The 16,272-nt window shown below is 49.4% G+C and overlaps 1 pseudogene across 1 annotated transcript in view; it reads left to right on the top strand.

The window, feature by feature from the left end:
- PLEKHM1P1 (pleckstrin homology and RUN domain containing M1 pseudogene 1) overlaps positions 1–16,272 on the top strand; it is a 52,344-nt pseudogene that overhangs the window by 21,717 nt on the left and 14,355 nt on the right. The window contains exons 5-6 of the transcript NR_024386.2: positions 10,368–10,638; positions 14,551–15,468. The product of NR_024386.2 is annotated as a pleckstrin homology and RUN domain containing M1 pseudogene 1 (transcript). The remainder of the gene's footprint in view (positions 1–10,367; positions 10,639–14,550; positions 15,469–16,272) is intronic.

The raw sequence follows: 16,272 nt of genomic DNA, 5'->3' as shown, positions 1-16,272 counted from the left end.
ACACATCACCTGTCCACGCAGTCTGCCTAAATCCTGGCCAGGAAAAACGTGGTGGGAGTGTCAGAGGAGGACTGTGTGAGGGGGAGTGCAGTGGATCATTTAGAGGGTGTGGGTTGTTTTAAATCATAAAACAGCAGTTTTGCATTCTTCCCTCTGCCCCAGTTGCCTTGGGCATTATCGCAGACAACCTGTCACACAGGTTTCTTTGTTTAAAACTTCTATGGTATTGTTGGAATTCAGCAAAGCCCAGGTAAACTGTGCCAACCAACGGACTGAGCCAAGAAACGGAGATCCCCACACCACAGGCCTAACTCTCCCTCCATGGCCTCAACACCAGCACACACCTGCACTGTGAGGCACCTGCAGAGCCCCTTCCTGCCCAGGCAGCCTCTGGAACTCAAGATGGTGTCCACGTGCAGGAGCCGCATCCCCAGGCGCCCAGCCCCCTGGACTTACAGCAGCCTGTAGAGAGCACCTCAGGCCAGCAGCCTTCTAGTACTGTCAGCGAGACAGCCAGAGAAGTGGGCCAAGGGAATGGCCTGCAGAAGGCCCAGGCTCATGACGGAGCTGGTCTGAAGCTGGTAGTTTCCTCACCCACCAGTCCGGTGAGTGGTGCAAGCCGTTCAGGGGGCGGTCTTGGGAAATGTCAGCTGACACAGGGTTTCCCCAGCTAGTGACCCTGAGTGGTCTCTGCCTTCTCCCTGTTAGCCTTCCTCTCCCTGCATAGTGATAGTGTTAATAGCATCATGATGATGGGGCTCATGTTTCTTGGCATGTGAGCTGTAGATATAAGCCCGGCTGTTTCTTGGCATGTGAGCTATAGATATAAGCCCGGCACTGTGCTGATCACTTCCCGTGTGTATCTCCTGTCATTTTCACGTCACTTTGTGAAGGTCGTTCTCAGTCTGACCGCAGTCTCAGCTCTTTAACCACTACCACTCACCAGCATAAGGCCTTGGGCAAGTCACTTCAGCTCTCTGAACCTTCATTTCCTCCTTAGTACTTGTTATTATTAAATTAATATTTTTTGATTTTTGGTTTTTGGTATTTTTTTCAGATGGAGTCTTGCTCTGTTGCCCAGGCTGGAATGCAGTGGCACAATCTCTGCTCACTGCCACCTTCGCCTCCTGGGTTCAAGCAATTCTCCTGCCTCAGCCTCCTGAGTAGCTGGGATTACAGGTGCCCACCTCCATGTCTGGCTAAGTTTTGTATTTTTAGTAGAGATGGGGTTTCACCATGTTGGCCAGGCTGGTCTCGATCTTCTTGCCTGGGCCTCCTGAAGTGCTGGGATTACAGGCATGAGCTGGTGCACTCAGCCTATTAAATTAATATTTTTAGAAAATACTAGGCCTTGAACATACTCACTTTGCAACATGACCCAGGTTTTAGAGCCGTGCTGTCCAATATGGCAGCTACAAGCCACGTGTGGCTGTTGTACACTTAAAATGTGGCAAGTCCAAATGGAGATGTGCCATGTGAAATAAGCGCTGGATTTCAATAACTTAGTATGATAAAAGAATAGAAAATCTCATTTTTATGGATTACAAGTTAAAATGAAAATATTTGGGGGCTGGGCATGGTGGCTCACACCTGTAACCCCAGCGCTTTGGGAGACCAAGAGGGAGGATTGCTTGAGCCCAGGAGTTGGAGACCAACCTGGGTAACAAAGTGAGACCCCATCTGTACAAAAAATACAAAAATTAGCTGGGCATGGTGGTGTGTGGCTGTACATATAGCATGAGGCTGTAGTTAATTCTTTTCCATTGTTCTGCAGTATTCCATTGTAAAAATATATCGCAACCTATTATCCATTCTCCCGTTAATGGACATTTGGGTTGTTTCCAGGTTTTGACTATTATGAAGAAAGCTGTAGTGAACATTCTCATACATGCTTTTGGAGAAACTCGGTGCTTATTTCTGTGGGTATATATACCTGGGAATGGAATTGCTAGGTCCTTGGGTGGCTTATGTTTAGCTTTAATAGATACCACCACCAAACAGTTTTCTAAAGTGTTTGTGCTAATTTATACTCATATTGGCAACAAATGAGCATTCTAGTTGCTCTTTATCCTGGCCAATGGTGTTACCAATCTTTTTAATTTTAGCCACTCTGGTAGATGTGTAGTGGTTTTAATTTTCATATCCTTGATGACTAAATGATGATACCTTTTCATTTGCTTATTGGCCAGTCAATCCTCTTTTATAGAATGTCTGTCCAAGTTGTCATTCTGGTCTTAAATTGAGTTGTATGTGTATGTGTTGATTTGTAGGAACTCTTTATATATTACAGATATAAGTCTTTCATTGGACAAAAACTATATTTATCAAGTATCTTTTTCTAGTCTATAGGGCTTGACTTTTAAACCTCCTAATGGTATTTTTATTGAACAGAGGTTCTTTTAATGATGTGCAGTTTATCAGTCTTTTTGTTTATGGTTTGCTTGGTTTTTGTCCCATTTAAGAGATACTCATCTCCCCCCAAGGATCTGAAGGTATTTGCCTATATTATCTTCTAGAAGCTTTAGTGATTTATCTTTCACAATTAGGTTTATGATCTTTCTGGGATTAATTTTTATGTGTGGTGTTAGAAGTCAAACCTCATATTTTTCCATATGGATATCTGATTGGCCTCGCTCTGTTTCTTGAATATGACCATGTAAATCACAAAACCGTCAGTGTGGGTCAGAGTCTTCGAATTTGCTATCCTGAAGATGCTTCAGTACATCCTGAAGATTTACTTCCTGAAAATGAATGCTCTAGGACCCTGAAGGTTGTGACTGTGCACCTGCCAACTCAAGCTGAAGGCTGAAGAGGAAAGCTCTGCAGCCCCTTCCTCAAGCTGGAGGCAGAGTGACGTCTGCTGGGGATGCAGGCTGTGCGCCCCACAGGACTCCAGAGTGGCACTAAGCATGTTGAGTTCACTCCTGCCCATGGTCTAGCTTCTGCTTTGCAGGCTCAGGCATCTTATCTTGCCAGGGCCTCAAAGCTGGTGGGACAGAATAGCATCTTTGCTCACTAAGCTCTGACCCACCGGCCTCCTTGCAGCTCTGTAGTCCAAGCGAACTCCTTCCAACATCAGGCTTCTTTGAAAAAAAAATTTTTTTTTGAGGCAGAGTCTCACTCTGTCACCCAGGCTGAAGTACAGTGGTGCAATCTCAGCTCACTGAAACCTCCGCCTCCTAAGTTCAACTTATTCTTATGCCTCAGCCTCCCAAGTAGCTGGGATTACAGATGCCTACCACCATGCCCAGCTAATTTTTGTATTTTTACAAAATTATGGGGTTTCACCATGTTGACCAGGCTGGTCTCAAACTCCTGGCCTCAAGTGATCTGCCCACTTTGGCCTCCCAAAGTGCTGGGATTACAGGCATGAGCCACCGTGCCCGGCCCAGCTTCAGGGTTTTACATTTGCTGTTCCTTCTTTCCCGACTCACTTCATTGTTGTCTCAGCCTTCCCTGACCGGACCCCCGTAGCTCAAAAGCACCATCCCCAGTGACTCTCTGTCCCATTCATCTGCTTGACTTCGCTTATAACACTCATCACTATGTGCAATTACAGTATATTATCTCTTTGTCTCCTTGTTTATTTTCTGTCTTCCTTACTAGAATATTAGCTCTATGATACAGAGCACCAGGCCTGTTCACTTCTGTATTGTCAGCACCAAGCACTGTACCTGGGAGAAAGTAGGCATGGATGAATAGTTCTTGAACTCCCAAGAGACTCTTGAGATGCCAATTCCTAAGTTTATTTTGTTCCCCCATCCTAGCTATAACGCTGTTTGGAATGGTTCTTTTTCTTGGTATCTCCAGCAAGTACCTGGCCCAGAATCATACAAGATGTGTGAATAAATCATGACCATCCCAATGTCTTTAATATAAAATAACAAAGATAAGTCAAGGGGACTTGAAGGAAGGAGACAAATGTGAAACTTAAGATTATGGACGTTCAGGCGAGGCGTGATAGCTCACGCCTCTAATCCTAGCAATTTGGGAGGCCAAAGTGGGTCAGCGAAGTGTACCATCGAGTGGACAGGGTGGTCAGGTTGGTGTGATCATGGCAGGCTCTGCCTCTGTGCCAGCTACAGGGGACTCTGATTGCTGGAAGGTTGCTTAGCGAATGTGACATCTAAGCGCTTGGTGCTGAGTCCGATGTGAGAATCTCGGATCCTGCCCCCGTCCTGTGTCTGTCTCACAGGGAAGTTGTGGATTCATTCACTGCTTATTCAGTAGGTAGTCACCAGGTGCCACTGAATAGCCTGCCAGCTCATGTGGGCCTGCTGGGCTCCTGGCCTGTGGACAGTGCCAGGCTGTGCCCTGCATATCTGCCCCTGTGGTCCTCATCTTTCTATACTTCTATCAGTTAGCCACGTGCTTTTTATTTGATGTTATTTTGGGGGAGATGTTGGGGTCACTGTCAAGTTTTATAGTGTAGAGGCCCATTCAGTCTTTCTTTTAAAAACATTTATTTTTAATTCATTGAACCCAAAGCACCTACTATAAGCCAAGCACCATGTTAGGTCCTAGGGGTAGAGTGATACAACAGGACAGACAAAGGCTCTTTGGGGACAGACATTAAATTAGACAAATGATTATCCACATCATAATTACACTTGTGCTAAGCACTGGGAAGGAGAGGTGCAGGGAATAGGGGCCTCTCAAGGGTGACGCATGTCTGGGATCTGGGGGTTGTGAGTTGGTTTCAGTTTAACTCCCAAAAGGCAGTGTGAGTTCTAGGACTTGCTCTTAATCACTGCCCCCATGGACCACCTGCCCATGGTATGTGGTTCCCCTTCCACAGTTATGAGTACAGGCAGTTCCTTTGCCTGGCATAATGAGGACTGGCTGGACAAAGTCTCATCCTTCTGAAAGTGTCCCAGAGACCTTCGTCTCACTCCTCAGCCACATTCCTCTTGGGGATTCAGCTGTTGTATATGGTGTCATGAGCCCTTTAGTAACGCAAGGTGGCATTTCTCTGTCTTGGGTCCCTGGTGGCAGTTGCAGCTCTGGTATAGATCCTTAGTCGGTGATGGTTTCTCTCCACTGTTAAAGGGCAGGGTGCTGGCCAGACATGGACCCTGAGTGAGCAGGTTGTCGGAAGGTGGTGGGAAAAAAGGAGAGAAGGGGTCCAGGTGCGGTGGCTCACGCCTGTAATCCCAGCACTTTGGGAGGCTGAGGCAGGTGGATCACCTGAAGTCGGGAGTTTGAGACCAGCCTGAACAATATGGTGAAACCCCGTCTGTACTAAAAATACAAAAATTAGCCGGGCATGATGGCGTGAGCCTGTTATCCCAGCTACTCAGGAGGCTGAGGCAGGAGAATCACTTGAAACTGGGAGGCAAATGTTGCAGTGAGCTGAGATCACACCACTGTGATCCAGCCTGGGCAACAGAGTAAGACTCCATCTCTAAAAGAAAAAAAGGAGAGAAGAGAGAAACAGTGGTGTTCATGCGTGCACTCTCTCTCACACCCTCTCTCTGCTCCCCACCCGCCTGGGGCCAGGGGCACACAGCCTCAGAGCTCTGTCCAGGCCCATGTGCAGAAGCTCCGAGGAACCTGCATTTCCACTGTTTTTTCCCTGTTGCTTAAGAGAGTAAAAGATGTTCCCTAGTTTCATTTCCTGGCAGCTGTGCTCAATGGACTGTGTCTGAACATTTCCTAGTAGTGTTTTTCCTCAAAGGAGAGAGAAGTCCTCCCCAGTGAATGTCCATAAACTTTTTTTTTTTTTTTGAGACAGACTCTTGCGCTGTTGCCCAGGTGGGAGTGCAATAGCTCCATCCATCTCGGCTCACTGCAACCTCTGCCTCCAAGGCTCAAGCAATTCTTGTGCCTCAGCCTCCCGAGTAGCTGAGATTACAGGCATGCACCACCATGCCCAGCTAATTTTTGTACTTTTAGTAGAGATGGGGTTTCTCCATGTTGGCCAGGCTGGTCTCAAACTTCTGGCCTCAAGCAATTTTCCTGCCTCGGCCCCCCAAAGTGCTGGGATTACAGGCATGATCCATCACGCCCATTCTGAATGTCCATAATCTTAAAATTTACATTTGTCTCCTTCCTTCCAGTCCACTTGACCCACCTTTGTTATTTTATGTTAAAGACATTGGGATGGTCATGATTTATTCCCTCATCTTGTATGACTCTGGCAGGCACTTGCTGGAGATATCAAGAAAACCATTCCAAACAGCCTTATAGATGCTAGAATGAGGGTAAGCACAGAATATTGTGGGATCCCAGTAGGGGCCCTAACCCAGCTAGGGGGTGGGAAGGGGTGGAGGCTGGGGAAGGGTGAGAGAAGCTTCCAGGCAGAGGCGATGGATGTCTCCTGAGCTGAGTCTTCAGGGACAGTGCCCTCTCCCACCAGGCGCTGGAGATCACACAACTTCCCAGGTATATGTGAGGCTGCCAGGACAGCCACATGGTTGCCAGGGAGCTGTTTCTCCCACCCATTTTCCTCAGGGAGGTCCCCCAGTTCTTGATGACCTAGGCAGGCTTTGCTCAGAATCTAGTGTTGTGGATGGTCCCCAGTGGCTGCCCTGACTGACACATCATCTGTCACTGGCAGGGGGGAAGCACCTGCCAATTCTGAAGGCCCCATGGAGGAGTCTCTGGGGACCTAGTTCTGTGAGCCACCCCTCAAGTTGCCTGAGTCAGAACTTGCCACCCTTGGCTTGAGGAGTCGTGTAGCATCTGAATGGATCCAACTGTCCAAACCAACCCTTCCCTGTTTACAAAGCAGGGAGTGCACTCTTGATTCAGGGACTGGAAATAGCGATGTCAGGGTGAGGTTAGTGGCACTTCACAAAACAGCGGGGCTGGTCCCACTGCTTGTGTGACTCATTTCCTCTGTGTACACAGCCACTTAGAGTTGGCCCAGCCAGCTTCCTTGCCTCTGCCCTTCCATGTTGAGGCACAGAATGCCAGGGAGGACTTGAAATACTGGAGAAAAGGAACCAGAATCCACTCCCACAAGCCCACTCACCCCAGATGCTCCCCGCAACCCCATCTTCCCCAGCCAATGAGCAGCTTCAGATTCAAAAGAGAACAACGAAGGGAAGGGGCAGGGCCTGGCTGCCTGGGGTCGCAGGGGCCTGCACAGAAGTGGGCGGCAGAGACAGAGGCGGCCAATGAGGACCCTGAGGCCTGCTCGCCAGGACTCCCTCATCTCAAACCCAAAAGCAGGACTGAGAAACCCTACATGCTGGGACAGCTGAATACCCACATGCAAAATAATAACACCCCTTCCTTACACCTTACACAAAAACTAACTCAAAATGGACCAGAAACCTAAATGTAAGAGCTAAAACTATATAGCTCTTGGCAGAAAACACAGAAGTGAATCTTTGTGATACTGACTTAGGCAATGGTTTTTTAAGATGCAACACCAGAAGCACAAAAACAACAACAAAAATAGATAAACTAGACTTTATCAAAACTAACAATTTATGTGCTCCAGAGGGCACACCATCCGGAAAATGAAAAGACACCTCACAGAATGGGAGAAATTATTTGCAAATCATAAATCTGATAAGGGTCTCGTATTCAGAATATATAAAGCACCTTACAACTTGAATTAGTCCCTAGGGCCGCCATAACAAAGTACCATACACAGGGTGGTTTAAAACAACAGACATTGGCTGGGCGCAGTCGCTCATGCCTGCAATCCCAGCACTTTGGGAGGCCGAGGCGGGCGGATCATGAGGTCAGGAGATCGAGACCATCCTGGCTAACATGGTGAAACACCGTCTCTACTAAAAATACAAAACAGAAATTAGCTGGGCGTGGTGGCAGGCACCTGTAGTCCCAGCTACACAGGAGGCTGAGGCAGGAGAATGGCATGAACCCGGGAAGCGGAGCTTGCAGTGAGCCAGGATTGTGCCACTGCACTCCAGCCTGGGCGACAGAGCAAGACTCTGTCTCAACAACAACAAAACAAAAAACAAAAACAGACATTGCTGGGCAGGTGGCTCATGCCTGTGACCTCAGCACTTTGGGAGGCAAGGGTGGGCGGATCACTTGAGTCCAGGAGTTCAAGACCAGCCTGGCCAACATGGTGAAACCCCATCTCTACTAAAAATATAAAAAATTTGCTGGGCGTGCTGGTGCATGCCTGTAGTCTCTGCTATTCAGTGGGGCTAAAGCAGGAGGATTGCTTGAGCCTGGGCAGTCAAGGCTGCAATGAGCCCTGATTGCACCACTGTACTCCAGTCTGGGCAAAGAGCGAGACCCTGCCTCAAAACAAAACAAAATAGGCCAGGCACAGTGGCTCACGCCTGTAATCCCAGCACTTTGGAAGGCTGAGGCAAGTGGGTCACCTGGGGTCAGGAGTTCAAGACCAGCCTGGCCGACAAGGTTTTGTCTCTACTAGAAATACAAAAATTAGCCGGGCATGGTGGCAAGCATCTGTAACCCCAGCTACTCGGGAGGCCGAGGCAGCAGAATTGCTTGAACCTGGGAGGCGGGGGTTGCAGTGAGCTGAGATTGCACCATTGCACTCCAGCCTGGGTGACAGAGTGAGGTTCTGTCTCAAAAACAAAACAAAACTGGTATTTATTCTCTGATCGTTCTGGAGGCTCCTTCTGGAGAATCTAAGGAAGAATCTGTTCCCGCCTTTCTCCTGGGTTTTGGCGTTGCAGGTGCTCGTTTGCATTCCTTGGCTTGTAGACATGTCACTCCGGTCTCCCCTCTGCTGTCACACATGTTCTGCTGTCATACAAGTTCTTCCTCTGTATCTCTGTCTTCACTTGGTGTTCTCCTCTCTTTGTGTATCTTTTCTCCTCCTCTTATAAGGACATCAGTCATACTGGATGAACAGCCCATTCTACTCCAACATGACCTCATCTTAACTAATTACTTCTGCAAAGACTATATTTCCAAAAAAGGTCACATTCTGAGGTACTGGGGGGTAGGGTTTCAACATGTCCTTTTGTGGGGGGGTCACAATTCAACCCACAACACAACTCAGCAACAAAAAGACAGCCCCATTTTAAGACAGACAATGGATTTGAGTAGATTCCAATGGATTTGGATAGATTTCCCAAGGAGAGAAATTGGAACCCTCGTACATTGCTGGTGGGAATATAAAATGGTGCGGCCACTTTGGAAAACAGCTTGGTAGTTCCTCAAGAAGGGAAACATAGAGTTACACATGACCCAGCAAGTCTACTCCTAAGTATATACCCAAGACAATGAAACATGTCTACACAAAAACTTGTGTATAAGTGATCATAGCAGCACTATTCATAATTGACAAAAAGTAGAAACAACCCAAATGTCCATCAGCCGAGGAGTGGATAAGCCAAATGTGGTGGATCGAGACAATGGAATATTATTTGGCAATAAAAAGGAATGAACACTTAAACATGCTTATATAACATGGATGCACCTTGAAAACCTTCCACTAAGAGAAAGAAGCCAGGCACAAAAGGTCACATGTCATATGGTTCCATCTATATGAGATATCCAGAACAGGCAGGTGTGTAGGGACCGAAAGTAGATAAGTAGGTGCCTAGAGCTGAGAGTGGCCAGGGGAAATGGGGATGATGGCTAATGGGTATGGGGTTTCCATTTTGGGTGAGGAAAATTTGCTAAACTTAGGTGGTGGTGACGATTGCCCAACTCTGACTAAGCCAAAATGTTTGAATTGGACACTTTATTTATTTATTTTTTTAGAGATGGGGTCTCATTCTGTTGCCTAGGCTGCAACCAGGCTGGAGGGCAGTGGCGTGATCACGGCTCACTGCAGCCTTGACCTCCCTGGCTCAAGCGATTCTCACTCTTCAGCCTCCTCAGTAGCTGAGACTACAGGTGTGTGCCATCACACCCAGCTAGTTATTTTTTGTAGAGATGGGTTCTCACTGTGTTGCCCAGGTTGGTCTCAAACTCCTGGGCTCAGGTGATCCTCTCACCTCAGCCTCCCAAAGTGCTGGGATTACAGGTGTGAGCCACCATGGCTGGCCGAATTACATACTTTAAGTGGGTTAATTTTATGATATAAGAGCCATATCTAGATAAAGACTTAAAAAAAAAAAAAAAAACTTCAGGCTGGGCACAGTGACTCACACCTGTAATCCCAACACTTTGGGAGGCCGAGGCAGGTGGCTCACCTGAAGTCAGGAGTTCTAGACCAGCCTGGCCAACATGGTGAAACCCCGCCTCTACTAAAAATACAAAAATTAGCTGGGCATGGTGGTGGGTGCCTGTAATCCCAGCTACTTGGGAGACTGAGGCAGGAGAATCGCTTGAACCCAGGAGTCAGAGGTTGCAGTGAGCCAAGGTTGCGCGATTACACTCCAGCCTGGGCAACAGAGCGAGACTCCGTCTCAAAACAAAAAAACTTTAAAACAAACAACTGTTGTCTTCTTTCCCAACAGAAAAACAAGAGCTGGATCTCAGAGGATGACTTCTACCGGCCTTCCCGGGAGCAACCCCTGAAGAGTGCTTCAGACCACCCAATAGCTTCTTACAGGGGGACTCCAGAGTCAAGGCCTGGTCTCCACAGGCATTTTTCTCAAGAACCAAGAAAAAACTGCTCCCTGGGGGCGTTAGACCAAGCGTGTGTACCTTCCCCAGGAAGAAGGCAAGCCCAGGCAGCCCCATCCCAGGGGCATAAGAGTTTCCAGGTGGTACACCGGAGGCAGATGGGTAGGTGACCAGGAGGGTCCCGGGTGGGTCCCATCTGCAGGGACCAGGCCTTTCAGAAGGCAGCTGTGAAGTTCTGTTTTCCATTGCTAAAGGGGTAGTGTGTTCCCACAAGTGTTATAAAACCTCATTCCAGAATGCCATCATAATCATGTTCATTCAGGGAAGCATTTCAGGAAAAGTAGTATATTGTCTCAAAACTGCCTACAGAGGACAAAAATACTGTTTCACCAGTCAAATAGGAAAATATTTTCCCTGAAAACTATGCAATTTATGATTATAGAAAACTCTTGATTCCACCTGTAGCTCAGAGCACATCCAGCCCCATGAAGCCCCAGGTGTTTTAAATGGTCCTTCCAAACGTGTTTACCCTCAGTAGTTGGTTTATGTAACAGCTCTGGGTGGCTTGATCAAATCTGCTATTTGTTTTGTTTGTTTGTTTGTTTTGAGATGGAGTCTCCCTTTGTCGCCTAGGCTGGAGTGCAGTGGCATGATCTCTGCTCACTGCAACCTCAGCCTCCTGGGTTCAAGCAATTCTCCTGTCTCAGCCTCCCAAATAGCTGGGATTACAGGCACCTGCCACCACACCTGGCTAATTTTTGCTTTTTTTTTTTTTTTTTTTTGAGGTGGAGTTTCCCTTTTGTTGCCCAGGCTGGAGTGCAATCATGTGATCTCAGCTCACCACAACCTCCGCCTCCCGTGTTCAAGCAATTCTTCTGCTTTAGCCACCCGAGTAGTTGGGATTACAGGCATGAGCCACAATGCCTGGCTCATTTTGTATTTTTAGTAGAGACGGGGTTTCTCGAAATTGGTTAGGCTGGTCTCCAACTCCCGACCTCCGGTGATCCACCCGCCTCGGCCTCCTAAAGTGCTGGGATTACAGGCATGAGCCACTGCGCCCGGCCAATTTTTACATTTTTAATAAAGATGGTGTTTTGCTATGTTGGCCAGGCTGGAGGATCTGCTATTTGTTTAATGTCCTCCAGTGCTTCCTTTTTTTTTTTTTTTTTTTCTGAGGCAGAGTCTTGCTCTGTCACCCAGTCTGGAGTACAGTGGTATAATCTCAGCTCACTGCAGCCTTTGCCTCCCAGCTCAAGTGCCTCAGTCTCCCCAGGAGCTGGGATTACAGACATGCACTGCCACACCCAGGTGATTCTTGTATTTCCAGTGGACATAGGATTTTGCCATGTTGGCCACGCTGGTCTGAACTCTTGGCCTCATGTGATCCACCCACCTTGGCCTCCCAAAGTGCTGGGATTACAGGTGTGAGCCACCATGCCCGACCTCCCCAGTGCTTTTTACAGCAAGGTCAGCTTGATCTCCACACACTGAAATTCCAGAAAGCCTTAAATAACCATAACCAAATTTTTCAGTAACCCTCATGATGGGTTTCCTCTTCAAAACAAACAAAAAAAGTACGCTCTAGAATTGGTCTCTTTCTCTCCTCATTTTCTGTTTGCAGTGACCCAGCAGAGAATCCTGCCCAGCTCAGGGGGCCTTGCTGTGGGTAGCCCTGGCATGGGTTGTGTGGGTAGAGCCCAGTCTCCGGGCTGGCTTCTGTTAGGTTTGTCTGTCGGCCCGTGTGATGGCTGTGGTCTCTAACCTGCCAGCGAAGCTGTGCTTCAGGTCTAGGCCATCAGGTTTCTTGAGGGGTAGGGAACCCCCATAGAATAGTGTGAAATCTCCAAGGCTATTCCAGGCTGGCGGAGAGAGAATTGTGTGTCCTTTGGACACTCTGGTTGTTGTCACACCCCAGGCAGCAGGGAGCTTTGGGCAACATGTGATACATAGGCACTCACCTGCTCATTCATTCAGCAAATATTATTGAGGCTCTGTGATGTGCCAGGCACTGTTCTAAGTGCTGGGGACATAGCAGGCAGCAAAGCAGTGGCCCTGTCTTCATGGGATTTAGATTCTAGTAGAGGAGACGGGAAATAAAATTAACAAGTAAGCATAGTGTGTGGTCAGGTGGTAATAAGTGCTATGGAGGACAGTAAATCTCTACCTGTCTACAGAGGTAGAGAGTGGACCACTGCATATAGGATGGCCAGAAAAGCCCTCACCAATAAGGGGATGTTTGAGGAGATGCGAGGGGAGAGAGGGAAGGAGTCATGAGGCAATGTACGTGTTTCAAGCAAGGAGAACAAATGCAAAGACCCTGCGCTGGGGCTGCGCTTGACACATCCAGGGACAGTGGAGACCAGAGTGGCAGGAGAGAGGAGATGGGGGTGTGGCAGTGAGCGACGAGGTCAATCTGACGAGGCCTGTGGGCCACTGGAAGCACTTTGGCTTCAGCTAAGGGAGATGGCAGCCACTGTGGAGTTTTGGGGCAGGGGGACATGCTCTGACTTCCCTTTAAATGGGTCATGATGGCTCCTACGTTGAGGGACTACGGGGAGAAGGGGAGAAAGACCAGTTAGGAGGTTGTCATCACAAGCCAGGCCAGAGATGACAGTGGGTGGGGTGCGGCTGGGGAGAGGCGGGGATTCCGGATGTGTGGAAGGCAGAGCCAATGGGATTTGCTGATGTAGGCTGCGAAAGAAAGAAAACCTGGGGTAACACCAAGATTTTTAGCCCAAGCATCTGGAAGGATGAATTTTGCTATTTGGTGAGATGAGGACCATTCAGGAGGAAGCAGGCTGGCAGCAGGAATTCATCCTGGACATGTCAGCTGAGATCCTAGTGGACATGTATGGCACAGGTGGATATATGAATGTGGATTTCAAGAACAAGGTCCAGGCTGGCGATAAAAATTGGGAGCTAAAGCCTGAGAGCAGGTAGAGTGGTGAGAAAGTGGCATCTACAGAGAGGAGACAAGGACCCAGGACTGACATCTGGGCACTCTAACGTGAGAGGCCACAGGGAGGACCGAGCCAGAGAGATAGAAGGGTGGGGGCGAGGGCTGAGGAGTGGCCTTGGGGGTTGGCAACGAGGAGGGCATTGACCATCTCAGAAGCAGTGTCAGTAGAATGAGGGGAGAGAAGCCTACTTGGAGCAGGTTTGAGAAGGAATGGGAGCAGGGAAACTAGAGACCAAGAGGTTTTTTGTTTTGTTTGAGACGGAGTCTCACTCCTCTGTCACCCAGGCTGAAGTGCAGTGGAGTGACCTCAGCTCACTGCAATCCCCTGCCTCCCCGGTTCAAGCCATTCTCCTGCCTCAGCCTCCCTAGTAGCTGGGATTACAGGTGCTCACCACACCTGGCTAATTTTTGTATTTTTAGTAGAGATGGGGTTTCACCGTGTTGACCAAGCTGGTCTCAAACTCCTGACCTCAAGTGATCCACCCACCTCAGCCTCCCGAAGTGCTGGGATTACAGGCGTGAGCCACCGCTTCCGGCCAAGATGAACAGTTTTGATGCCTCTTCAAACAGGTTTTCTGTAAAGGGGCCTGAGAAACATGGTGGTCATTAGGGAAGTGCGTGGAGATGAGAGGTATTTCTAAAGATGGGAGAAATGACAGCGTGCATGTGTGCCGATGGGAGTCACCCCATAGAGAAGGAAGAAAGCAGCGACAGAGGAGAGAAGGACTGCTCCTTGTCCTTGAGTAGTTGGCCAAGGGAGAGACCTCCTGCACAAATGGAGGGTTTGGCCTCACGCAGAAAGAAGCACACTTGGTTCATCCCTGGCAACAGGAGGGAAGGCGTGGGTGTAGGGAACAGGGCGTGTGGAGGTGATCTTTTGGGTGCTCTTATTTTCTCAGTGAAATACAGGATGCAAGAGCAGCAGTGGACGGTGAGAATGGGGATGTTCCCATCCAGCTTTCAGGGTCCCATGTGATAGTGCCCCGTGGCTGGCCTGTGTTCTGGGGACAGTCACTGGCCACATGCACTGCAGGGCATCAGGCAGCAGAGGCTGCCTTGGGCAGGACAGAGACAGGCCCGCCAACTAATGTGCCCCTTTTTGCCTCTGCCTCCAGGACTGTCCAACCCATTCCAGGGTCTCATGAAGCTGGGCACCGTGGAGCGGCAGGGGGCAATGGGCATCTGGAAGGAGCTCTTCTGCGAGCTCTCCCCACTGGAGTTCCGCCTCTACCTGAGCAACGAGGAGCACACCTGTGTGGAGAACTGCTCCCTGCTTCGCTGTGAGTCTGTGGGGCCAGCCCACAGTGACGGGCGCTTTGAGCTGGTCTTCTCTGGCAAGAAGCTGGCCCTGCGCGCCTCCTCCCAGGACGAAGCTGAGGACTGGCTGGACCTGGTGCGGGAGGCCCTGCAGAAGGTCCGGCCTCAGCAGGAGGATGAGTGGGTGAACGTGCAGTACTCAGACCAGCCTGAGGAACCCCCCGAGGCGCCCCAGGGCTGCCTCTCTCCCTCAGACCTGCTCTCGGAGCCCGCGGCCCTCCAGGGCACACAGTCTGACTGGTCGTCCGCCCAGGTTCCAGAGCTAGATGCCATCAAGGAGTCCCTGCTGTACTTGTACATGGACAGGACCTGGATGCCCTATATATTTTCTCTGCCCTTGGAGGCTCTGAAATGTTTCCGCATCAGGAACAATGAGAAGATGCTGAGTGACAGCCACGGCGTGGAGACCATCCGGGACATCCTGCCAGACACCAGCCTTGGGGGCCCATCCTTCTTCAAAATCATCACGGCCAAGGCTGTCCTGAAGCTGCAGGCCGGAAACGCCGAGGAAGCCGCCCTGTGGAGGGATCTGGTCCGCAAAGTCCTGGCATCCTACTTGGAGACAGCCGAGGAGGCGGTGACCCTGGGCGGGAGCCTGGATGAAAACTGTCAGGAGGTGCTGAAATTTGCCACCCGGGAGAATGGCTTCCTGCTGCAGTACCTGGTGGCCATCCCCATGGAGAAAGGCCTTGACTCCCAAGGCTGCTTCTGCGCAGGTGCCGACTTGCTCTGCTGCCACCCCCAGCCTGCCAGCCTCACTCCGCCTCCTGCTGGTTCCTGATTTAGGCTCCCCACCCTTCTGCCTCCCCGCAAATGCCCCCATCCTTCCCCTAGGGATGAGGCCACAGATCAGGCTTGCCCTACAGCTTCTGCTCCTCCCCAGCCCCGGCTGGGGCCAGTGCCCTGCTCATAGGCAGTGGGCCCTGCTCACCCGTCCCTCTCCTGGCACCTCCCACTGATGGGCCACAGGCTGGCTAGTCACTGCGCTGCTCAGGGAGTCCCAGCCTGCTTCATTTTCTTCTTGCTCTACTGTCCTGTTCTTTCAGAGCAGGGGCATGGTTTCCTTCCAAATATTTCTGCTGCTTTTCTAAGTGTACACCCTTTTTTTTTAATTACAAAAATGGGCTCGTGCTATTCAGTGCTGTCCAATAGAACTTTCTGTGATGATGAAAATGTCCTAGATCTGTGTGTCCAGTGCCATAGCTGCGAGCCATGTAGTGCTACCAGGTGCTTAAAGTGTGGCTAGTGTGGTTAAGCAACTGAATTTTCCATTTAAATTCATACATTTAAAGGGGACACACGGGGCTCTTGGCTGCTGTGTTGAATGCTGGATATATTGTTCCACAACTTGGTTTTTTCCTACACTGTGGATGTTATTCCAAATCAGTACATCTGCTATGTCTTCCTCATCATCAAATCTAATACTTCTGTGCTGGGCACTGGGCCAGCTGCTTTATTTGGATTATCTCATTTAAGTCTCATAACAACCCTGTAGAGATAGGCGCTACTATTATCATCTC

The sequence above is a fragment of the Homo sapiens genome, chromosome 17 (assembly GCF_000001405.40).
Source record: "Homo sapiens chromosome 17, GRCh38.p14 Primary Assembly".
NCBI lineage: Eukaryota > Metazoa > Chordata > Mammalia > Primates > Hominidae > Homo > Homo sapiens.
Note: the sequence above shows the minus strand (reverse complement) of the source record. Positions and strands in the feature narration are given on the sequence as shown.